The following is a 24081-nucleotide window of genomic DNA, read 5'->3' as shown; positions in this document are numbered from 1 at the left end:
AGAGAGGAAAGCAAGAGAAGGAAGAAGGGGAGGAGACGGCATGGCCACAGGAGCCACTAGGTCTCTCATTAAAAGGGCATTTGTTTGAGGCAGAGGACCCTGTGCAAGATATGGCGAGCTGGCTGGTGATGATGGAGTTGAGCATGGGGGCTCAGGAGGGTCCCCTGGCTAAAGCAGGGGAAGGAGAGATTTGCTCGTGGCTGAGCACAGGACTCCCGCTGAGGGTGTGGAAAGTCCTGGGCTACAGTTCCAGCCCTTAGGCCAACACAGACAGGCCCACATCTTTCAGATGGGATATCCATGTTGACCAGAGACAGGGGAATGAGAAACTGTAGCTAGAAAACGATCCTAGATGTTTCTTATCCCTCAAAGCCTTCTGAATGAACAGCAGTGTGACAAACCACAGGAACTCCAAGAAGGCAAACAGACGTGAGATCACTGGTTCTAGAGCTAGAAACCTTTCCCTATGTCTTTTGGGCCCAGCCAGGCAGGTGGTCGGGGACAGCTATGAGACTTCACTGCTCTCATGAGGAACAGAAAGCCCACCAAGGGCCGGGGTTACAATCTGGACACTGAGTCCAAAACAAGTCACATTTTGACTCCTGTAGCACATTGTGTTTTCCAGAAATTGCTCCAACAGTATTTTCAGTCTCACGTGCCTTATCTCTCCCCCATAAAGAGGTGGAGACTATTTCCCCTCCCCTTGAACCCGGGCAGGCCTTTGTGACCGCCTCAGCTGATAGAATGCAGGGTAGTGATGATCCCTGACTTCCAAGGCTTGGTCTTAAAGGTGATAGGTATCGCTTCCACCTGGTTTTCTCTCTTGAGATGTGTGTATTGAAGTTTAAGAAGTCTGGCTATCCTGAGGCCATTTTCTACAGAAACAAGAGAGACGGAGAGAGACGGGGTGAGGGGTGGGGGGTAGAGAGAGAGAGAGAGAAACAGAAACGAGAGACGGGGAGAGAAGAGGTGAGATGGGGTGAGAGAGAGAGAGAGAGACATTGAACTCCAGTTGTTCCAGTCCTGAGATGTTCAAATGTTCTCAGCTTCGGTGTCAAACATGGGAGAGAGTGAGCTTCAGAGGACTCCAGCCCCCAACCCCTCCAGATGATGCTAAATGGAGCAGAGATGACCTGTCCCTGCCAATCCCTGCCCAGACCACAGACTCATGAACAAAAATGCTGTTTTAGGGCCAGTCGTGGTGCCTCACACCTGTAATCTCAACACTTTGGGAGGCTGATGCAGGTGGATCACTTGAGGTCAAGAGTTTGAGACCAGTCTGGGTAACATGGCAAAACCCCATCTCTACTAAAAATACAAAAATTAGCCAAATGTGGTAGTGTGCACCTGTAATCCCAGTTACTTGGGTGGCTGAGTCAGGAGAATCACTTGAACCCAGGAGGCAGAGGTTGCAGTGAGCCGAGATTGTGCCACTGCACACCAGCCTGGGTGACAGAGTGAGACTCTGTCTAAAAAAAAATTAAATAAAAATAAAATGCTGTTTTAATTCACTAGGTTTTTAGGTTTTTGGGTAGCTTGCTGTACAGTATCGAATAATCAGAACACATAAAGTTTCTTGGCCCTATTTATGCTCTCAGTAACTATGAAGAGGAGTGAGTTACCATCCTTAATTTACAGGCAAGACCACCAAAGCACAGTGGGCATTAGTCACAAGATTTTATGGACTGAATTGTGTCCCAAAATTCGTATGTTGAGGCTCTAACTCCCACTGTGACTATTTGGAGATAGGGCCTTTAGGGAGGTCATTAAAGTTAAATGAAGGCATTAGGGAGGGGTCCTAGTCCAATGGGACTAGTGTCCTTGTAAGAAGAGAGAGACACCAGAGCTCGTTCTTTCTACACCATGTGAGGACACAGGGAGAAGGTGGCTGTCTGCAAGCCAGGAAGAGAGACCTCACTAGAAACTAACCCTGATGGCACCTTGATCTTGGACTTCTGTCTTCCAGAACTGTGAGAAAATGAATTTCTGTTGTTTAAGCCACCAGTCTGTGGCATTCTGTTATGACAGCCTGAGAAGACTAAGACACAAGATAAGTGGCACAGCCTTGATTCATAACACAGTTCTCTGACTCCAAAACTGGCAGCCTACTCAGCACTCTGCTGAAAGTCAGAACAGGACCCTGTCCACAAGCAATGATGCTCCTGGGTCCAGACTCACGCAACAGGGTCATTATCGAAGCGTCAGCAGAACCAGATTCTGCCTGCTCTACTAAGAGTTCAAGGGCAAAGCCAAGAAACAACACCAAGAAGTAGTTTCAGAAGCCAAGGGAGGCATTCAATTATGACCTGGAATATGACAGGCCTGGGGTAAAGCCTGGATGATGTTAGGGACCCTGGAACCGGGGACATAGCCAGGCTATTTTCTCTGGCTTCCTCTCCTTCACGGGCATTTATTGCATGTCAGTGATCTGCCAGGCACTCTTCCAGGCATTGAGAAAAGAGCAGCCAACAAGCCAGACAGGGCCCCTGATCTCATGGAACTTACATTCCAAGGGGGACAGAAGGCAAGTGAATAAACACAAAGTGAATTCCCTTCTAATTGTAATAAGTGCTGTGAAGCGAATGAACAGCGACCTAACAGAGAACATCTTGGGGAAAAGGGGATCTGTGGCGGTGACGTTTGAGCTGGGATGTAAAGAATGAGAAGCAGCCACCCATGAAGAACAGGGAGATTGTTCCAGGCAGAGGGATGATAGGTGCAAAGGCCCTGCAGTGGGAAATCATGAGAGTCATCCGGAAAATATACAGGAGGGAGTTGCTGAGATTCGAGCATAACGATGAGGTGAGGAGAGGTCAGAAGGAAACTTGGTGAGGCAGACCAGACTTTACAGGCCTTGTAGGCCACAGCAAGGAGGAGTCTCACTTTAATAAATTAAAGGTAGATGTTTTGTCACTGTGGTGCAGAACAAGGGGGATCAATGCCCAGATGTTCCCAGGAAGGAAATGGAGCTCAGGTGAGCTGAGGAGACACTGTTGTTGAAAAGCATGCTTGGCCGGGCATGGTGGCTCACGCCTGTAATCCCAGCACTTTGGGAGGCCGAGTTGGGCAGATCACTTGAGATCAGGAGTTCGAGACTAGCCTGGCCAACAAGGTGAAACTCCAACTCTACTAAAAATATAAAAATTAGCCGGGCATGGTGGCAGGTGCCGGTAATTCCAGCTACTCAGGAGGCTGAGGCAGGAGAATCGCCTGAACCCGGCAGGTGGAGATTGCGCTGAGCCAAGATTGTGCCACTGCACTCTGGCCTGGGCGACAGAGCAAGACTCCATTTCAAAAAAAGAAAAGCATGCTCATCCCTTTGAGGTCATCACAAGGCCTGGTGATGAGCCCTTTGAGTCCCTGTTTGCCTGCTCAGCTGGGACTCTCTCCCACTGCTGGGGACATGGGAAAAAAGTAACCATTTGCTTAATTCCAAAATTGATTCCCAGGGTATAGGGACATCAGAGCACTGAGTGCTCAGTGCTGAGATTAGGGACTTATCCCCAAGTGTAGCCAGGAAGAGAGCAAAGGGAACTACAATGCTTGCATTAGTTTTCTATTGTTAAACTTCTGACATACTTAGTGGCTTCAAACAACACAAGTTTATTATCGTACAGTTCTGTAGGTTGAAATTCCAACACAGGTGTCATCAGGCAGGGTCTAGCTGTCATCAGGGCTGCATCCCTCTCTGGAGCTCTTTGGGACAATCGATTTTCATTTCCTTGACTTTCAGCTCCTGAAGACTGTCTGCATTTCTTGGTTCATGGCTCCTTCTTATGTCTTCCAAGCTGGCAGTGGCAGGTTAAGTCCTTCTCACACTGCCATATCTCTGGCTCTTTAGTTATCACATGTGCCTCTGATCACAGCCTGGGAGGGCTCTCCATTTTGAAGGACTCATGTAATCAGTTGGGCCCACCTGGATAATCCAAGATACCTTCCCCCTCTCAGGATCCTTAATCACATCTGCAATGTCCCTTTTGCTATGTAAAATGACTTACAGATTCCAGAGATTAGGATGTGAACATCTTTTGGGATCATTATTCTGCCTACCACAATGCAAGTTCATGGCTAAAGGAAGGATAAAAGTGGATGGATCTGGGGTTCTTCAGATTGACACATCCAAAGATTCTACTAAATATATATTTTTAAAATTTCAATTTATATTTTAGATCCAGGTAGTACATGTGCAGGTTTGTTACAAGGATATATTGGCTAGGTGCAGTAGCTCATGCCTGTAATCCTAGCACTTTGGGAGGCTGAGGCAGGAGGATTGCTTGAGGCCAGGAGTTCAAGACCAGCCTGGGCAACCAAGTGAGACCCCCATCTTTACAAAAAATTAAAAAATTAGCCAGGTGTGATGGTGCATGCCTGTGATCCCAACTACTTGGGAGTCTGAGGTGGGAGGATTGTTTGAGCCTAGGAGGTTGAGGTTGCGGTGAGCTGTGAACATGCCACTGCACTCCAGCCACGGTGACAGAGTGAAACCCTGTTTCAAAGAAAAAAGAAAGATATATTTCGTGGTGCTGAAGTTTGGGCTTCTATCAATCTCATCAGCCAGAGAGTGAACATAGTACCTAATAGGAAGTTTTTCAGCCCTTTCCCCCCTCCCTTTGGAGTCCTCAGTATCTATTGTTCCCATCTTTATGTCCACGTGAACCCAAGATTTAGCTTCCACTTTTAAGTGAGAACACACAATACCTGTTTTTTTTTTTCCTTTTTTAGATTTTATTTATTTATTTTTAGATACAAGGTCTCACTCACTATGTTGCCCAGTCTGGTCTTGAACTCCTGGGCTCAAGCAATCCTGCTGCAGCTTCTCAAAGTGTTGGGATTACAGCCATGAGCCACTGCACCCATCGATATTTGGTTTTCTGTTTCTGCATTAGTTCGCTTAGGATAACACCCTCCAACTGCATCCACATTGCTGTAAAGGACATGATTTCATTCCTTTTTATGGCTGTATAAATCCTTTTGGTGGGCTCTTTTTTCTAAAGTTTTATGCTCTGTCATATACAGATACGAACAGTAGGAATAATCTTCATTTACTGGGAGCCTGTCTGGTACCAGGTACTTTTCTATAACTTCTACTATTTACTACTTATAGTAATAAATAGTATTTTATGTTTGTCGAGTACTTGCTACATGCCAAGCATTGTGAGAAGTGCTTTGCATGTGTCATAAGAATGAAAACAACTTACATGTTAACAATTTGTCTCTTTTTCCATCCCTCCAGCAGCTGAAGAAACTTTTGCCTTTGCCCACTTGTCTTCTCCCACTTCCCTGCTGCTCAAAGGATATTTCGTCTTTGTAAACTATGTTCTTAAACTTCTGGGGTTCAAAATCAGAAGAATGGGTAAACAGAGACTGCACTGTTACCTTGGAGCTTCCCTTCACTGTCATTTCAGAAATGCTTTCCCAAGTTTCCTATATTGGGTCTCCTGTGTTCCCATTTATTTAGCTGCTGTTGCTCATTTTCAATGCACCTGTCTATACTCTGCTCTGGGAGCTGGGCCTGAGACCTTGCACACCACATGTCTGCTTTGCCAGCTGGCTCTCCATTAGACTTTGCCCAGAGGGGTGCCAGTGGGAGGCTGGGAGGCTGAAGGAAGGGAAGGGATCTGCTCCTTCCTGTTTGCTCCTTTTTCCTGTCAGCGTCATCACGACAGCATTTTCTCACAGTTGGTTCCAGTGGCAGTGGTTGGTTTTCAGTTTCATTTTCCCCCATATTCTCAGAATCAGCTTCATTGTGCCCATGAAGTGACACCAGCAAGTCCCAGGTGATGGATGCATCGTCTTCAGAAATCTGAGTCTCAGCCCCTCGTGGTTCCTTCTCTGAGGTCTTGAGGCACCAGCACCAGAACAGCAATCCTTCTTTCTCAGACATCTTGGTGCCAGCTCTATAGAACTCTTCTTCAAATTTGCACATCCCAGTACTAATACTCTTCCTTTAATTATCCCATTCCTAGGTGGTTGCTGCTTTCTGGAGCTATTACTTTCTTTTTTTTTTTTCTTTTATTATTATACTTTAAGTTCTAGGGTACATGTGCACAACATGCAGGTTTGTTACGTAAGTATACATGTGCCATGTTGGTGTGCTGCACCCATTAACTCGTCATTTACATTAGGTATATCTCCTAATGCTATCCCTCCCCGCTCCCGCCACCCCACAACAGGCCCCGGTGCATGATGTTCCCTACCCTGTGTCCAAGTGTTCTTATTGTTCATTCCCACCTATAAGTGAGAACATGCGGTGTTTGGTTTTCTGTCCTTGCGATAGTTTGCTCAGAATGATGGTTTCCAGCTTCATCCATGTCCCTACAAAGGACACGAACTCATCCTTTTTTATGGCTGCATAGTATTCCATGGTGTATATGTGCCACATTTTCTTTATGCAGTCTATCATTGATGGACATTTGAGTTGGTTCCAAGTCTTTGCTATTGTGAATAGTGCCGCAATAAACATACATGTACATGTGTCTTTACAGCAGCATGATTTGTAATCCTTTGGGTGTATACCCAGTAATGGGATGGCTTGGTCAAATGGTATTTCTAGTTCTAGATCCTTGAGGAATCGCCACACTGTCTTCCACAATGGTTGAACTAGTTTACAGTCCCACCAACAGTGTAAAAGTGTTCCTATTTCTCCACATCCTCTCCAGCACCTGTTGTTTCCTGACTTTTTAATGATCGCCATTCTAACTGGTGTGAGATGGTATCTCATTGTGGTTTTGATTTGCATTTCTCTGATGGCCAGTGATGATGAGCATTTTTTCATGTGTCTGTTGGCTGCATAAATGTCTTCTTTTGAGAAGTGTCTGTTCATATCCTTTGCCCACTTTTTGATGGGGTTGTTTGATTTTTTCTTGTAAATTTGTTTAAGTTCTTTGTAGATTCTGGATATTAGCCCTTTGTCAGATGGGTAGCTTGCAAAAATTTTCTCCCATTCTGTAGGTTGCCTGTTCACTCTGATGGTAGTTTCTTTTGTTGTGCAGAAGCTCTTTAGTTTAATTAGATGCTGTTTGTCTATTTTGGCTTTTGTTGCCATTGCTTTTGGTGTTTTAGTCATCAAGTCCTTGCCCATGCCTATGTCCTGAATGGTATGGCCTAGGTTTTCTTCTAGGGTTTTTATGGTTTTAGGTCTAACATTTAAGTCTTTAATCTATCTTGAATTAATTTTTGTATAAGTTATAAGGAAGGGATCCAGTTTCAGCTTTTACATTTGGCTAGCCAGTTTTCCCAGCACAATTTATTAAATAGGGAATCCTTTCCCCATTTCTTGTTTTTGTCAGGTTTGTCAAAGATCAGATGGTTGTAGATGTGTGGTATTATTTCTGAGGGCTCTGTTCTGTTCCATTGGTCTATATCTCTGTTTTAGTACCAGTACCATGCTGTTTTGTTTACTGTAGCCTTGTAGTATAGTTTGAAGTCAGGTAGCATGATGCCTCCAGCTTTGTTCTTTTGGCAATGTGGGCTCTTTTTTTGTTCCATATGAACTTTAAAGTAGTTTTTTTCCAATTCTGTGAAGAAAATCATTGGTAGCTTGATGGGGATGGCATTGAATCTATAAATTACCTTGGGCAGTATGGCCATTTTCACGATATTGATTCTTCCTATCTATGAGCATGGAATGTTCTTCCATTTGTTTGTGTCCTCTTTTATTTCGCTGAGCAGTGGTCTGTAGTTCTCTGGAGCTACTACTTTCATGATACCTCAGTGTGTCCTTTTTGCCTTTTCAGTTCTCCAATACTTGGTTAGCAATTCTTTATATTAAATTCTCCCTGCCAAAATAACTGGTATGGTTTCTGTTTCCAGGAATGGTCCCAGAAAGCAAACTTTCAAAGATACGATATTGTTTGGGTCCTGTTCTTGAACTTGAATGCAGTGCTGAGGTCCTTGCCAGTGAGAAATGGGAAGAAGGTAATTCACAGCGTGTAGTGGTAATGCAAATAATCCAACTATCATCTGTGTTTGTTGTCAGTGCTTACTAACAATTACAGTACTTGACATTTATGATGGTAATAATGGCTACAAAGACTATGGAGTAGGATGGTTGCTTCAGAGTATATTGGAATGCTTATAGAAAGAAAATAACAGGTTTAGGGCTATGAACTCCCAGATCAAGTTATAGTGACACAACCAGAAAGTTTCTATGGCAGCCTTAAGGAATCTCATTTCTTGCACACTGACAATCATGTGAATAACAATACATTTTAAAAAGGAATCTCATTTCTTATAGTCACAGGACTAACTTCCATGAAAACTGATGCAAAATTGAATAGTGCAGTTTGAAGAATTATTATGTAACTATAAACTACAGCCTTATCCAATCTCTTGCATGAATATCAGGGCATTGGTTGGAAAGTAGGAGGACCCTGAGACTTGGAAGGGGGATATCTTGGTAGAGATGAAGCTGAGAATCTTGAACCTCTAAGCCATTCTGATCTTCTGTTTACCAGTTGATATAACCTGCACTCTCATATCTGAGGAGAATCACTTATCATTGCTTGAAGACACTGTAACAATATCATGACACATCCCAACTATCCTTTGTTTCTTCTACCTATAATAAGGGTCATATCTCTTAATGCTCTAGGGGACAAACATGAAGTTTGACTTATAAGCTATAATTCCAAAAAACTGCAATATTTTGCAAATATAAATTGACAGTAACATGAAGAATATATGTGGGAATTATTCCAAGGGATAGATTGCAAATTTATATCAGGCTAAATTTGATATGAGTACTCTTACCCGAGATTCTGTATTTTATCTGTCTACTTAAGTAGCTGAAAGTGGCTCTAACAGTTTACTTAGTTCATTGAATTTTGGACTCAACAATAATTTTATGAGTTTGAGATGCTACAGCATCTATGATGACATAATGCCAAAAAAAAAAAAAGGAATACAAAGAGGACGAGAGTGTTGATATCTCCCTCTTTTACTGCATCACCCTAGAAAGCCAGGGGACACAATTTTCACCAAGAAATTAAGAAAGATATGCATGAGGGGAACACCGGTGTTTAAAACTTTATGGTATGTATGACAATAGAACTTGCACAGTTGAGATTTCAGTAAGATGATGAGATTTGGGTATAGTAGATACCAAGTGGCAGACTTTAACTACCAGAGATAAGGTAGGCACATTTATAGCAATGGGAAACAGTAGTAGAGCAAGCATCAAGGTATTTTGACTCCTTTTTGTTAGTGGCTGATTGATCACAGTATCCCCAGGAATGAAACAGATGAAGAGCCTACTAGAAAATTATTTAATCTGGCTGGGTGTGGTGCCTCATGCCTGTAATCCTAGCACTTTGGGAGGCAGAGGTGGGTGCATCACTTGAGCCCAGGGTTTGAGACCAGCCTGGGCAACATGGTGAAACCCTGTATCTACAAAAAATACAAACATAGTTGGGTGTGGTGGCATGCGCCTGTAGTCCCAGCTACTCAGGAGGCTGAGATGAAAGGATCGCTTGAGCCTGGGAGGTTGAGACTGCAGTGAGCCATGGTCGTGCCACTGCACTCCAGCACTCCAGCACTGGGTGGCAGAGCCAGACCCTGTCTCAAAACAAAACAAAATAAAACAAAACAAAAATTACTTAATCCATACAATAGGGAAAACTCCAAGTCAGGAATAATGAAAGGAAGAAGTTGGGATTATTACAACAGCAGCAGCTAAATCTAGTTTGCAGTTTTTCTAATACTTGCAGAACCAGCTTTATCATATCTCATTCAGAAACACCAGCACCAGCTGTCTGGTGTCCCCTCCTTAAAGGTCTAGTTCCTGTGCTCACAGGGACCCTCCTCTGAGCTAAGAGATATCAACACCAGCTAGGTAGTACCTCTTCAGAGCTTTGAGTTTCGGCTCTTTGGTGCCTTTCTTCTAAGTTTCTAAGCATTAATATTTCCAGCCTCTTTTTTATGCTCATTCAGCCCTGAGAATGATAGGAGCTTTCTGTAATTCTTACATTTTTTATGCCTTTAACGTTAGGATTTACCCTTCTAGTTACCTACTTAACAAATGTACACCTACATAGCATTTTTAACATTATCTTTTTTCTATTTAAGTAATGGTGCAGATTGTGTCATCTGGATGGTCACTGACATACAGAAATTGGTAGCAAAAGTGGCCTCAGGAAACAGACTCTCAAAGATGGTATTCTGGGATTGGTTCAGTCACAGCCTTGCATTTCTTGCCAATGGAAAATTGGATGCTAGTATCCAGGCACACAGTGGCATCATGTGTGTTGGATTACGCTGAAGTACCTACTGGAGACTTCTCCCAAAAAACTTTCTGCCATTTCCTAGAATGATTATAAGAATCATTTAATAGAATTTCTCACTTACTAAGAAAAGGGAATTACCCAGAGCTTTCAGGAATTACTAGGCGCTAGCTCTAAATTGATGCTGACTCCTAGAGACTCAAAATGCCACAGTGCCACCAATAAAATAAGGGCTATTGTGGCCAGGTGACATATGGACTCTTAAATCAATTTCAAATCACAGATGGTACAATATGTCCATGGACCAATTGTATAGTTATTTCCCCAGTTAATTAATGTAAATTGGATAGACACATTTAGTAACTAGAAGAATACCAATCTTGGCTGTCTGACCCATAGAGTAAGGACCACGATGGTTGGAAGAATCGAATGGAAGCCACTGGAACTTACTCTGTCAGGATAGTAATCGCAAAAACAATACCATATTCCTGAGAGAATTACAGAGATTATCACCACCATCAAAGACTTAAAAGATGCTGAGGTGGTGAAGCCACATCTAACTTTCCTGTTTGCCCATGCAGAAGGCAGATAGATATTGGAGAATGACTGTACATTATCATAAACTTTATCAGGCAGTTATTCCAAGTTGTGGTTTAATATATAGAAACTTCACCAGAAACAAAAATCAATATAGCTCCTATTACCTGGCATGTAGCTACTGACCTAGCAAATACTTTTCTCTCTATACCAATTTGTAAGGACCATCAGAAGCAGCTTGCTTCTATCCCACAGGGCCAACAGCATACCTTCACAAATTTGCCTCAGGGCTTCACCAGTTTTGCTCTGTGCCATAATACATGCTGGAGACAATCTCGATCCTCTTGATACCACACTGGTCTACAATCTTGTTAACATTATGTTGATCTGATCTGGTGAACTAGAATTAGCATTAATTTAGATGCCTTAATAAGACTTATGCAAATCAGAGAGTAGGAAATAAACCTCATGGAAATTCAGGGCTTGTCACTCCAGTGAAGGTTCTGGGTATCTAATGGTCTGGAGCACATCAGGCTATCCCTGAGGTGAAAGATGAGTTGCTATACTATGTACCACCTACCACAATAAAAGAGACGCAATGCTTTGTAGGCTTTTCTGAGTGTTACAAATAACATCTACCATATTTGAATGTGCTATTTAGACACACTTACCAAGTAATATGGAAGGCTATAAATTTTGAATGATGATCAAAGCAAGCAAAGGCTCTGCAGGAAGTCTAGTCAGCTCTTCAAACTGCTTTTCCTTTTGAGGCTTTTGATCCCCAGACTCTTTCCAACATCAGTTTCTGCTGCATTGCCTTCTCTCCATCAGTATACTCTAGTGGTTTCATGCGCTCCTTATAACCAGTTAACCAAGGAGAGAAAAAAACTCTTCTACACATAAATACATAAAACAGATAGGATTATATATTATAGAAAGAGTTATATGCTTTGAATTGGAGATAAATTTATGTTTCTACCACTCCCATGGCCAGGATACATGGGTCTGAAAATCAAGAGGTAGAAATGGGAGTGAGTCCTCTTACTATCACATCTAACAGCCCACTTGTAGAATTTGTTTCTCATTCCCAATTTTTTCTTTCTTTTTTTTTTTTTTTGAGATGGAGTTTTGTTCTTGTCTCCCAGGCTGGAGTGCAATGGCACAATTTCAACTCACTGCAACCTCTGCCTCCCGGGTTCAGGCAATTCTCCTGCCTCAGCCTCCCGAGTAGCTGGGATTATAGGCACACACCACCACGCCTGGCTCATTTTTGTATTTTTAGTAGAGACGGGGTTTCACTGCGTCTGCCAGGCTGGTCTCGAACTCCTGACCTCAGGTGATCCACCCGCCTCAGTCTCCCAAAGTGCTAGGGTTACAGGCGTGAGCCACCATGCCTGGCCTGAGATCTGTTGACTTTGAAATTTTTATTCCCCCTAAAAGAATGCTTCTACCAGGAGACACATCTATAGTTCCACTGGTTTCCTAGATGAAACTGTTTGGCCACTTTGAGTTTCTCATACCAAAGACCCAAGAGACAAGGAAGGGTATTACTCTTCTTTGTGGAGATAGAGTAATTGATCTTGGTTACCAAGAAGGAATTAAATTGTGGCTACACAACAGGAACATGAAGGTCAATGTTTGGAACATAAAAGATACATTGAGGTATCTCTAAGTACAGGTTGTGTGTTGCTTAAGATGGGGATACATTCTGAGAAATTTGTCAGGCAATTTCATGCTTGTGTGAACGTAACAGAGTGTACTTACATCAACCTAGATGTTATAGCCTAATACACCTATGTACCCAGGCTATATGGTATAGCCTATTGCTCCTGGGCTACAAACCTGTAAGAATGTTACTGTATTCGGCCGGGCGCAGTGGCTCACGCCTATAATCCCAGCACTTTGGGAGGCCAAGGTGGGCAGATCATGAGGTCAGGAGATCGAGACCATCCTGGCCAACATGGTGAAACCCTGTCTCTACTAAAAATACAAAAATTTGCCAGGCATGGTGGCATGTGCCTGTAATCCCAACTACGCTGGAGGCTGAGGCAGGAGAATCGCTTGAACCAGGGAGTCGGAGGTTGCAGTGAGCCAAGATCGCACCACTGCACTCCAGCCTGGTGACAGCGCAAGACTCTGTCTCAAAAAAAAAAAAAAAGTTACTGTACTCAATACCATAGGCAATTGCAACACAAGGGTATTTGTGTGTCTAGACATATCTAACCATAGAATAAAGTAGAGTAAAAATACCATATTATAATTTTATGGAACCTCTGTCATATATGCAATCCGTTGCTGACGAAAATGTTATTATGTGGCACGTGACTTTACTTTCATGTTCATTAGTAAAAGGTAATAGAAAACTTCAGCAACCAAAAATGTCAAAGACACTGAAGATTCAGACCTTTCAAGAATGAAGATCTGTGCTATTCTACCAGGTAAAGGACCCTGATCAGCTGAGGTTCTGGCTGAAGACAAAACAGGATGGGTAGTGGAAGAAGGAAGTTCGTGAACATCAGCTGCAGCCTTGTGACCATTTGCAGAATTCAGACTGTAACAGCTGTGCGCATTTGCTTTCTCATTGGTGTGTGTGTGTAACATATTATTTTCCTCTTCTTTCTCCTCCTTTCCTTTAGTATTTTTATTTATTTATTCATTCATTCATTCATTCATTTATTTATTAGAGATGGGATCCCATTATGCTATCCAGGCTGGTCTCAAACTCCTAGGCTCAAGCAATCCTCTCACCTCAGTCTCCCAAAGTGCTGGGATTACAAGCAGGAACCACCACGCCCGGCCTCCCTTACTATTGTATACAAATTTTGTTAGAAGCTAACTTCACAATTTAGTACTTAGATAACAGAATATTCAAATGAGATTTTGAATACATTTGAGAAGTAATTAACATATGTCAGAGAAGAATATCGTGACCATTGGGCTTTGCATCTCTTTCTTTGGGGTAGTGAGAAGATCTGTCTATCTGGATAGTTGCTGTGAGGAACGAAACACAGAATTATTTTGTTGTATGAATATTCATATATGTGTAGAAGAGTGCCTGTGAGTAAGTTATTGTCTCTCAGCTCCTTCTCTACTCAGCTTTGTGATAGTAGCATTGGGAATCTGGAAACTACATTTTTTGCTTTGCCTACTGGCTCCCTTGTTAGGCTCTACCAATATAAAGCACTAGAGCTGGTTTTCTTCTGACGCCTGCGAGCATCATCCCAGGGAGGCTTCTTCATCCCGGCAGCAGCAATTCCTTCTGTTGGCAGAAGCTGACTCTAGTTTGCACTTTGTCCAGTATTTGAAGAACAAGCCTCATTGTACCCACCTCAGAGATACCAGCCCTACTAGGGCAGGAACATCAGCTCAGAGGCCTGAGTTTTAGCTCTGTGGAGCCCCTTATCTAAGCTTCTAAGTTTTCAATATTCCAGTGTCTTCTTTTGGTTCCCTAAGTCTTTGAGGTGGCAGTTGCTTACTGCAGTTGCTATATCTGTGCTAACTTAATGTTGGTATCTGTACCCTTTTTGTAAGCTAATTGACAACAGTGTGTCTAGTTAACAGTTCTTTATATCACGTTCTATCTATTTAAATAATGAGTGTGGTTTTGTTCTCTCAAATGGACCCTGGCCGATATGGACGCTTTGGTCTGTTTGAAATTTTGGCATGAACCAGAGCTGCAGCCCAAGTTTACATCTCTTTGCTGCCTATACTGTCACTACAGATAATGTAGTTCATAGCTTTAAACCTTACTTATATGCTAATGACCTCAAATTCATACCTCTTACCCTGGCCTATGATGAGAATTACAGACATATATTGTACTATCTACTTGATATCTCCACTTGACAAGTTAAGTATATCTCAAATTTAATATGGCCAAAATGGGACTCATAATTCTCTATGTTCACATCACCCACCCAAGTCTGTCCTCCCTAGGTTTTCTTCATTACAGTAAATTATACCTGCCAGCAGTTCCTCAAGTATAAAAACACAGAAATCACCCTTGATTTCTTTCTTCCTCACTCTTCATATCCAATCCATCAGCAAGTCTAATAAAAATATCTCAAAATATTTCCACATCTCACCACTCTGGTCGAAGCCACCAGACTCTCCAGCCTGGACATCTGTAAAGGCTTCTTTCATTTTTTTTTGAGACAGTCTTGCTCTGTCGCCCAGGCTGGAGTGCAGTGGTGCGGTCTTGGCTCATTGCAACCTGTCTCCTGGGTTCAAGTTATTTTCCTGCTTCAGCCTCCCTAGTAGCTGGGATGACAGGCATGAGCCACCATACCCAGCTAATTTTTTTGTATTTTTAGTAGAGACAGGGTTTCGCCATGTTTGCCAAGCTGATCTCAAACTCCTGACCTCAGGTGGTCTACCCTCCTTGGTTTCCCAAAGTGCTGGGATTACAGGCGTGAGCCACCATGCCCAGCCCATGCCTTCTAAAAGGTATCCCTTCTCCTGCTCTTGCCAATCCCCTATACTGTATCCTCTATGCAGCAGCCAGATATTCTTTTAGAAACATAAATCAGAGCACATTAAATCCCTCTGAAGCTTTACTAACACAAATATTATAAGGTGAACATGCTTTATCCTAGTCTAAAGGTCTTATCAAATGAGGTCCCTGTTCATCCCTCTGAATCACCCCCTGCCACTCTCCTCAGCTTTCCTCTTGAGGCTGATGCATTTGTGAAAGTCCTAGAGTTTCATAGAAAGGAGCATGAACCTAAATAGGCGGAGATGCATAGACAAAACTCTAAGGCTCAGGCTGGGAGCGGTGGCTCAAGCCTGTAATCTCAGCGCTTTGGAAGGCCGAGGCAGGCAGATCACGAGGTCAGGAGTTTGAGACCAGCCTGGCCAGCACAGTGAAACCCCATCTCTACTAAAAATACAAAAATTAGCTGGGCGTGGTGGCACGTGCCTGTAATCCCAGCTACTTGTGAGGCTGAGGCAGGAGAATCACTTGAACCCGTGAGGCAGAGGTTGCAGTGAGCCGAGATCGCGCCACTGCACTCCAGCCTGGCAACAGAGTGAGACTCCGTCTCAAACAAAAAACAAAAACTCTAAGGCTTGACATCTCATGGCCTGGCAAATGTTAGTCTCAGCCACAATGAACTGAGTATGTACTACCTACCCATTCCCACCCTTACCTGCAGCCTATTCTTTAAGATAAATTTCACTCCTGGAAATCAACCTCTCTCCAACCCACCTCCATACACCTCACTACAGACCCTCAATACCTGACAAATTCCTTCCAATCCGTTCGCAAGAAGTTACAACACAGAGAAAACGGAGAAGCAGCTTTCTTACGTCCTATGTCATGCATCCGGCTGTTGCTCTCCCTGACTTCTGCTATTAAAGCTTTTGTCAGAGTGGATAAATTAAACTCTCTGAGCTTGAGTATAGATTGTCTTTGGCTCTGGCTGTTGCAATTTGAAACGTTACCCAAGTTTCCAGTAAAAAATCAGGGCCTAGAAGAGGGAGCCTGTGGGTTTCTTTTTTCTGTCAAGATTTATCCTCTTTGGTACTTGTGGTTGTTCAGGTAAACTTAATAGTGAGATAATAACTAGATACATCCGTTTCACTTGGTATTGGAGACACAAGCAAGGAGATCTATGTCATTTGGTCTGTCAATCCATTAGGAATAATCAGGTAAATTTAGAAAGAAAAATCTCTAAGCCCTGCCTCAAAACCGTGGCATCAGAATTTTCTGGAATGGAGCAATGTTTATGTGAAATTAAGTTTTAAAAACTTCATGAGTGATTCTGATGCACATCCTGGATAAGAATGGATGATGCTTTACTAAGCTTCCCTGGTGATTTAAATGTCCCTGCCCTCCAAGGAGTCACATGAAACTCCAACTAGAGTTACAGTCTTAACAATTCCCTCACAGCTCATCATCTGAAAGTTGAGAAAAAGAGTCAAGGAGGGTAAGCAGCCCTCATCCCCATCCCACACAGCTTCCCAGTGGCAGCGCCAGAGCCTCAACCCATGTCTTTGAATGAATGGTACAGAGGGAAGGCAGAATTGATCATGGCAGGACCAATCAGAGAGAGAGAACTTCCAGCAATAAGGAAAGTCCTGAACAGGCTTTAAAAAAGGAAACAAATATGGATAGTTCCAAGGCAGACAGGTCTATATGGAGGAAAAAGTAAGGCATCCCCTCCTCCAACGTGCCGCCTCCATAGCTATGATGAATTTTTCCAGTGAAGGTAAACTCTACCTGGCAGGATTGCTGGAAGAATGGGAGGGTAACATCTGGTGAAGGATAAAAATAGAAAGTATTATTGGGCTTTCTGAGGCTGCTTACTTGAAAGAAGAGCATAAATAATTCCTTTGCCCAGAGCCCTTATCTGTTCTTTATGCCTTTGACTGTGGGTGTGCAGCAGGTGGGGAGAGAGAAGGGGCTGGTGAGGAAATTTCTCATCAGTGGAAATCCCCTCTTGGTCATGCATCCATTTGAGGGAGTTGGGGGGGTTGCAGCCATAGTATCTATGGCAGGGGAGCATATCCAGAGGATAAGAGAGTGACAGACACGAATGAGAAAGAGGGAGAGGATCAAGACAGGCAGACATGGGTGGATACAATGATAGAAACAGAAAGTCCTACAGGGAAGTAGGAAATGAGAAAAGAGAAGAAAGGAACAGGATGGAGCCTATCATACTGTAAGATGTATCTTATATGCCTCACTGAAGTTGTTTGTGACCCTTTGGTTCCCTGGGTCCCCTGGCACGTTGCCTCCATGTCTCCCAGGGCTTAGCCCTTCTTTGTGTTCAGTGCTTGTGGTGAGTTTCCTCCTAGGGTTTCAGTCAAGAATTTGGGAGGAAGGGCAGGCGCGGTGGCTCAGGTCTGTAATCCCAGCACTTTGGGAGGCCAAGGCAGGTGGATCACCTGAGGTCAGGAGTTCGAGACCAGCCTGGCCAAAATGGTGAAACCCCGTCTCTACTAAAAATACAAAAATCAGCTGGGCTTGGTGGCAGGCACCTGTAATCCCAGCTACTCAGGAGGCTGAGGCAGGAGAATCGCTTGAACCCAGGAGGCAGAGGTTGAAGTGAGCTGAGATGGTGCCATTGCACTCCAACATGGGCGACAGAGTGGGACTCCATCTAAAAAATAAAAAATAAAAAGTCTGGGAGGAGAATGGAGGCAGGGGCCAGGGTAACTCTGGTAGTCCTCAGCCGACTACTCCTAACCAACAGGGACCCTAAAGGTCCCTATGCCTTGACTTCTCCCTATAGGCTGAAAACCTGGCATTCTTATTCACCTTTGACTTCTAGCCCTCTCTCACTGCGAGCAGCCAGGCTGCTGAGATATTCTTTTCATTTGCTTCTCCTCTTAGTCAGCACAAAGGCCTCTATTCTGTTCAACTGATACCCTGCTCCTCTCCCTACAGTCAACATTTCTTTAGCCCTAATCCCTTAAAATCCCCTTAAACAACTCAAAAGCAATAAAGAGATAGTTCTTGGTTACATTTCTCCCCCTTGCTTTGTTCTTCCTAAACCTCTTCTCAGATTGCAGGCCAGAAGGTCTTTGTGTGAATGTTGACTCATCTCATTCATTCTAATGAGCTCACCGACAGCATAAACTGGGTGGCTGGCCGCTCCCAGGCTGGGTGTTGGGTAACAGAGAGCTGTCTGGCTATGGGACTGAGCTTCCTGGAAGAGAGGAGGTGGGGAGGACCTGCTAAGCCTGGGACTTTTCAACATCAGTTACTCCCAGGAGCCTAAAGGCATGTTCTTCAGATGCGGCAGGGTGGCTTATCCCTGAGTGACTGGAACTTCTGTCCTCCCACTACGGTCCCCAAACACCTACACCTGTAATGTGGTCAGCAAATCATCTTCCGTCTCACTCCCTGGGGATTAGTATTTCATCCTCATGTGAAAATGCACGTTACTCATTAAACTATTAGTTTTAATTCTGCTTCATAGCACAAAAGTGTTTGACAGAATTAGCTAGGACAGACACGTTTTGATGAAGGAAAATGGTTTTGGTCTATAGCTGAGGAGGACAAGCCTTGGTTGAATGTTGGAAGAGAGAATACAGCATGCAGTCCACAGGGGCCTAGGTGCGGTGCCTACTAGTGAATGGTAGATTTGGGCAAAGGCCACTGCTTCTCTTAACCTAGGAACCTCATCTGTAAAATAAGAAACATAGAATGTTGTTAGGCTGGCTGACATTGGCAGGTAGAGACAAACAAAAATGAAATGGATCAGTATATTGGCTATAAGACAGTAACTGGTAGGTCAGGTAATGAAACAAATTATGAAGGGAGTGTTATCACCTGGATGTTGTGTGTGCATGCATGAGTGTGCACAATTAACTCCAATCATGCAGCATGGAGATCCGCAGCCATGGGTACAGGGAGGGAAGCAGGCAGAGAAGGGGAAGGGCAGAATTCTACCCAAATCAAGCAATAGAAAGGTAATTAACATAAAATAAAAATGTATATATTTACATACACATATATACATATACAATACACACTTATGTATATGTATGTGTATGTATGTGCATGAATATGTACGTATGTGCATATAAATATATTTCCCTAGATTTGCAACATTTCTTACCAATAAAAAGGACTGCATTTAGCATTTAGGCTGAGATTCTTGGGTTGAAGATTCCGGTCCATGACATGGTCAAATATTAGGTTATTGGTTAAAGGCATGAGGCCAACGTACAGATATGGGTACCACATCCAGGATGATGCTACCCAACTACCCAAGACACAGGTTAATATGCAGAGCCCCTTCTTATTTTGGGGATTTTTTTTTCAAGCCCACATATTTTTGTACATCATGTTCACAAATCCCTTGTGGTGCCCATAGTTTTTATATTACATATGGAAGGGGATGAATGGATATCCATTCTCTTCTGATGGTTGATAGAACTCATAAGTACAGTAGTCCCCGCTTATCCATGGTTTCACTTTCTGTGGTTTCAGTTACCCATGGCCAACTATGATCTGAAAATATTAAATGGAAAATTCCAGAGGTAAATAATTCATAAGTTTTAAATTGTATGCTATTTTAAGAAGCATGATGAAATCTCTGGCCATCCCGCTCCATCCCACCTGGGATGTGAATTAGCTCTTTGTCCAGCATATCCACTCTTTATACACTGTTAGTCACTTAGAAGCCATCTTGATTATCAGATAGAGAAAACATACTATATATAGGGTTCAGTACTATCTATGGTTTTAGGCACCCTCTGGGGTCTTGGAATGTATCCCCCAAAGATAAGAGAGGACTACTCTAAAACCATTTGGGCCTAGGATTTTTACAGTGAGAAAGTTCTCAATTATGAAGTCAAAATGTTTATATGATATTAAGCTATTCAAATTTTCTATTTCTTCTTGAGGAAGTTTTGTAAATTTGTGTCTTTCAAGAAGTTGGTCTATTTATTCAAGTTTTCAATTATATTGGCATAAAGTTCTAGAAGTTTTTTGTTTTGTTTTGTTTTTTTGAGCTAGGATCTTGCTCTGTCACCCAGGCTGGAGTGCAGAGGCATGAACATGGCTCACTGCAACCTCAACCTCCTGGGCTCAAACAATCCTCCCACCTCAGCCTCCTGAGTAGCTGGGACTACAGGTGTGCATCACCATGCCCATCTAATTAAAAAAAATAATTGTAGAGATGGAGTCTTACCATATTGCCCAGGCTGGTCTTGAACTTTGGACTCAAGCAATCCTCCTGCCTCACCTCCCAAAGTGCTGGAATAACAGGTGTGAGCCACTGTGCCTGGCCTAAAATATTTTAAAATTCTTTTTATAATTTTTAAAATATCCAGTGGTGTCCTCTTTCATTTCTCATTTTGGTAATTTGTGTCTTCTCTCTATTTTTCTTGACTAGCCTTGCTAAAGTTTTACCAGTTTTATTGATCCTTTCAAAGGATGAGCCTTTTTTTTCTCTATTCTTTGTTAATTTTGCTTTTCATTGATTTCTGCTCTTATTTTTACTATTTCTTCCTTCAATTTATTTTGGGTTTAATTTGCTCTTCTTTCTCTAATTTCTTAGGATGGGAGCTTAAATCATTCATTTTAGGTCTTTCTTCTTTTCTAAAATAAGCATTTAGTTTAATGCTATATATTTCTCATTAAGCATAGCTTTAGCTACATTCCACAAATGTCAATTCAAAATATTTTCTAATTTCTAATGTGATTACTTTTTCAATCTATAAATTACTTAGAATGATGGTTCTCAACTGGGGTGATTTGTCCCCCAGGGAATAGTTGGCAATGTCTAGGGACATTTTTGGTTTTCACAATTAGAAGGGTACAACTGGCATCTAGTAGGAATAGACAAGGATGCTACTGAGCTTCCTAAGTGCATAGGATAGCTCCCCACAACAAGAAATTGTCCAGCCCAGGGTGGTAAACACTGTCTGTAAAACTATGTTGCTTAATTTCCAGATGTATGTTTTTTTCCTAGTTATTTGTATGGTCATTGATTTCTAATTAATTCCATTGTGGCCAGAGAGCATAGCTGATATGATTTTAGTCTTTTTTCTTTCTTTCTTTTTATAGAGATGGGGTCTTGATATGTTGTCAGGCTGGTCTTGGACTCCTGACCTCAAGCAATCTTCCCCCTTCAGCCTCCCAAAGTGCTGCAATTACAGGTGTGAGCCACCACACCAGGTCTATTCTAATCTTTTAAAATTTATTGAGACTTATTGTATGGCACAGTGTGTATTCTATTCTGGTGAACATACCTCGTGCACTTGAAAAGAATGTGTTCTGCAGTTGATAGGTGGACTGTTCAAAGTGGTTGATGGTGTTACTCGTTTTGTCTATGTGTTTGCTGATGGTTTTTTTGTTTTGGTCTGATTTTTATATACTTGCTGATAAGGGAGAGAAGTGTTAACATTTTAAAATATGATTGCAAAATTGTGTCTTTCTCTCTTTAATTCTGGGAAGTTTTACTTCATGTATTTTGAAACTCTGTTATTTGGTGTATACATATTTATGACTACTGTCTTCCTGATGAATTTTTCTTTCTACTATTATCAAATGTTCCTCTATCTCTAGTAGTACTTTTTGTCTTGAAATCTATTTTATCTGATATTACTATAGTCACTTCAGCTTTATTCTCTGCTCGCTGTTAGAATAGTATGCACTTTCTTGTCTATTGACTTTCAACCTCAATGTGTCTTCTAAAGAAAGAAGATAATTGTTGTCTTAGTTAGCTCGGGGGCTGCCATAACAAAATACTATAAATTGGATGGCTTAAACAATGAAAATTTGTATTCTCACAGCTCTGGAGGCCAGGAAGCCCAGGGTCAAAGCTCTGAGCAATTCAGTTTCTTGTGAGGGTTCCCTTCTGGCTTGCAGGTGGCTGCCTGTCCCTGTGTTCTCACATAGTGGAGAGAAAGAGTAAACTCTCTGGTGTCTCCTCTTGAAGGACACCAGTGTTATTGGATCAGGGTTCCACTCTAATGATCTCGCTTAATCCTATTTCCTGACTCCAAATACAGCTACACTGGGAGTTAGGGCTTCAATATACTAATTTGGGGTGACACAGTTCAGTCCATAGCACTGGGTCTGGCTTTTTAATTCATTTTTACAATTTCTGCCCTTAGTGGTTGGCCTGGGGATTACAATATACATTTTTATCTTTTTACAGTTTACTTACAGTTACTCTTGTTCTACTTCATGAAAAAATACAGAAACCTTGGAACTGTATAGGTTCCTATCGCCATCATCTCCTTTATGTTATGACTGTCATGGTTTTTTGTTTGTTTTGTTTTGTTTTTCTGAGACGGGGGTCTCACTCTGTCACCCAGGTTGGAGTGCACATTACACCCTCCACCTCCCAGGCTCAAGCAGTCCTCCCATCTCAGCCTCCTGAGTAGCTGGGACTACAGGCATGAACCACCACACCCAGCTAGTTTTTTTTTTTTTTTTTTTTGTAGAGACAGGGTTTCCCCATGTTGCCCAGGCTGGTCTCGAACTCCTGAGCTCAAACAATTTGCCTGCCTCAGCCTCTCAGAGTGCTGGGATTACAGGCACGAGCCACTGCGCCCAAACTGTTTTTTGTTTGTTTGTTTTTGTTTTTGTTTTTGTTTTGTTTTGTTTTGAGACAGTGTCTTGCTCTGTTGTCCAGGCTGGAGTGCAGTGGCATGATCATAGCTCACTGCAGCTTCAATCTCCTGGGCTCAAGGGATCCTCCCACCTCAGCCTCTTGATTAGTTGGGACTATAGGCATGCACCACCACACACACCTGTTTTGTTTTTTTTTTTTAATCTTATTTTTAGTAGAAATGAGGTCTTGCTGTGTTGCCCAGGCTTGTTATATGTTGTATATCTGTATAGGTTATAAATCCCACAAGAAAATGCTTCAATTTTTGCTTTTAATAGCCATATGTATTATAAAGAAATTAAGAAGCAAAAAAACTTAGTATTTTTATTTACCCAGATATTTACCATTTCCAATGCTTTCTACTTATTTTTAATAATGTTTGTTTATATCTGGTAATATTTTCATTTAGCATAAATAATTCCTTTGGCATTTTGTTTTGTAGTGAGAGTTACTGGCGAAGAAGTCTTCATTTTACCTTTATTTGTGAAGGATATTTTTTGCCAGATATAAAATTCTGGTCTGGCAGTTTTTTCTTTAAGTACTTTAAAGATGCTTTTCTTACTCTTTCCTGGTCTGTGTAGTTTCTGATGATAAGTCCACTGTCATCATTGTTCCACTGCATATAATTTGTCATTTCTCGCTGCTTTCCAGATTTGCTCTTTATCTTAGGTTTTCAAAAGTTTAACTATGATGTGCCTCGGTATGGCCTTTCTCATGTTGATTCTGCTTAGTGTTCATTGAGCATTTTGAATCTGTAAATTTACATTCTCCATAAAATTTGACAGATTTTTAGCCATTATTTTAAAAATATTTTTTATGCTTCCTTTTCTCTTTTTTTCCTTGGGGTTACTACACTTACATATATATGAAACCAGTTGATATTATCTAACAGTTACCTAAGGCTCTATTCAGCTTTTTGCTATTTTTTTTCCTCTGTGTTTCTTATATTGGATAATGTTTAATGTGTAATTTTTGGTTGCTTTTTGTTTTTTCCCTAATGTCTATTGATCTATCTTCAAGTTCACTTACTGTTTCCTCTATTACCTCAACTTGGCTGTTAATCATTTTGAACATGTAAATTTTAGATATTACGTATTTTAGTTCTAGAATTTCCATTTGGTTCTTTTACGCTGTATTTTTCTCTGCTCTTTTCATTTGTTGTGAGCAAAATTTACCTTACTTCATTAGGGATAGCAATAGTAGCTGCTTTAAGATTCTTAATACCTTTGTATAGGAAACAACATTTAACA

At 42.0% G+C, this 24081-nt stretch overlaps 3 annotated features.

The window, feature by feature from the left end:
• Positions 17208-17715: an enhancer, noted in NCBI's record as "H3K27ac hESC enhancer chr2:88630416-88630923 (GRCh37/hg19 assembly coordinates)". NCBI's record gives its function as "activates a minimal SCP1, AML or CMV promoter by ChIP-STARR-seq in naive H9 embryonic stem cells {active_cell/tissue: H9 hESC(naive)}" and the evidence as "EXISTENCE:reporter gene assay evidence [ECO:0000049][PMID:30033119]".
• Positions 18225-18733: an enhancer, noted in NCBI's record as "NANOG-H3K27ac hESC enhancer chr2:88629398-88629906 (GRCh37/hg19 assembly coordinates)". NCBI's record gives its function as "activates a minimal SCP1, AML or CMV promoter by ChIP-STARR-seq in naive and primed H9 embryonic stem cells {active_cell/tissue: H9 hESC(naive and primed)}" and the evidence as "EXISTENCE:reporter gene assay evidence [ECO:0000049][PMID:30033119]".
• Positions 18405-18454: a silencer, noted in NCBI's record as "silent region_11730". NCBI's record gives its function as "represses an Ori minimal core promoter by ATAC-STARR-seq in GM12878 lymphoblastoid cells {active_cell/tissue: GM12878}" and the evidence as "EXISTENCE:reporter gene assay evidence [ECO:0000049][PMID:35858748]".

The sequence above is a fragment of the Homo sapiens genome, chromosome 2 (genome assembly GCF_000001405.40).
Source record: "Homo sapiens chromosome 2, GRCh38.p14 Primary Assembly".
Taxonomy (NCBI): domain Eukaryota; kingdom Metazoa; phylum Chordata; class Mammalia; order Primates; family Hominidae; genus Homo; species Homo sapiens.
The sequence above is the reverse complement of the archived record's forward strand: the minus strand, read 5'-3'. Positions and strand labels throughout refer to the sequence as shown.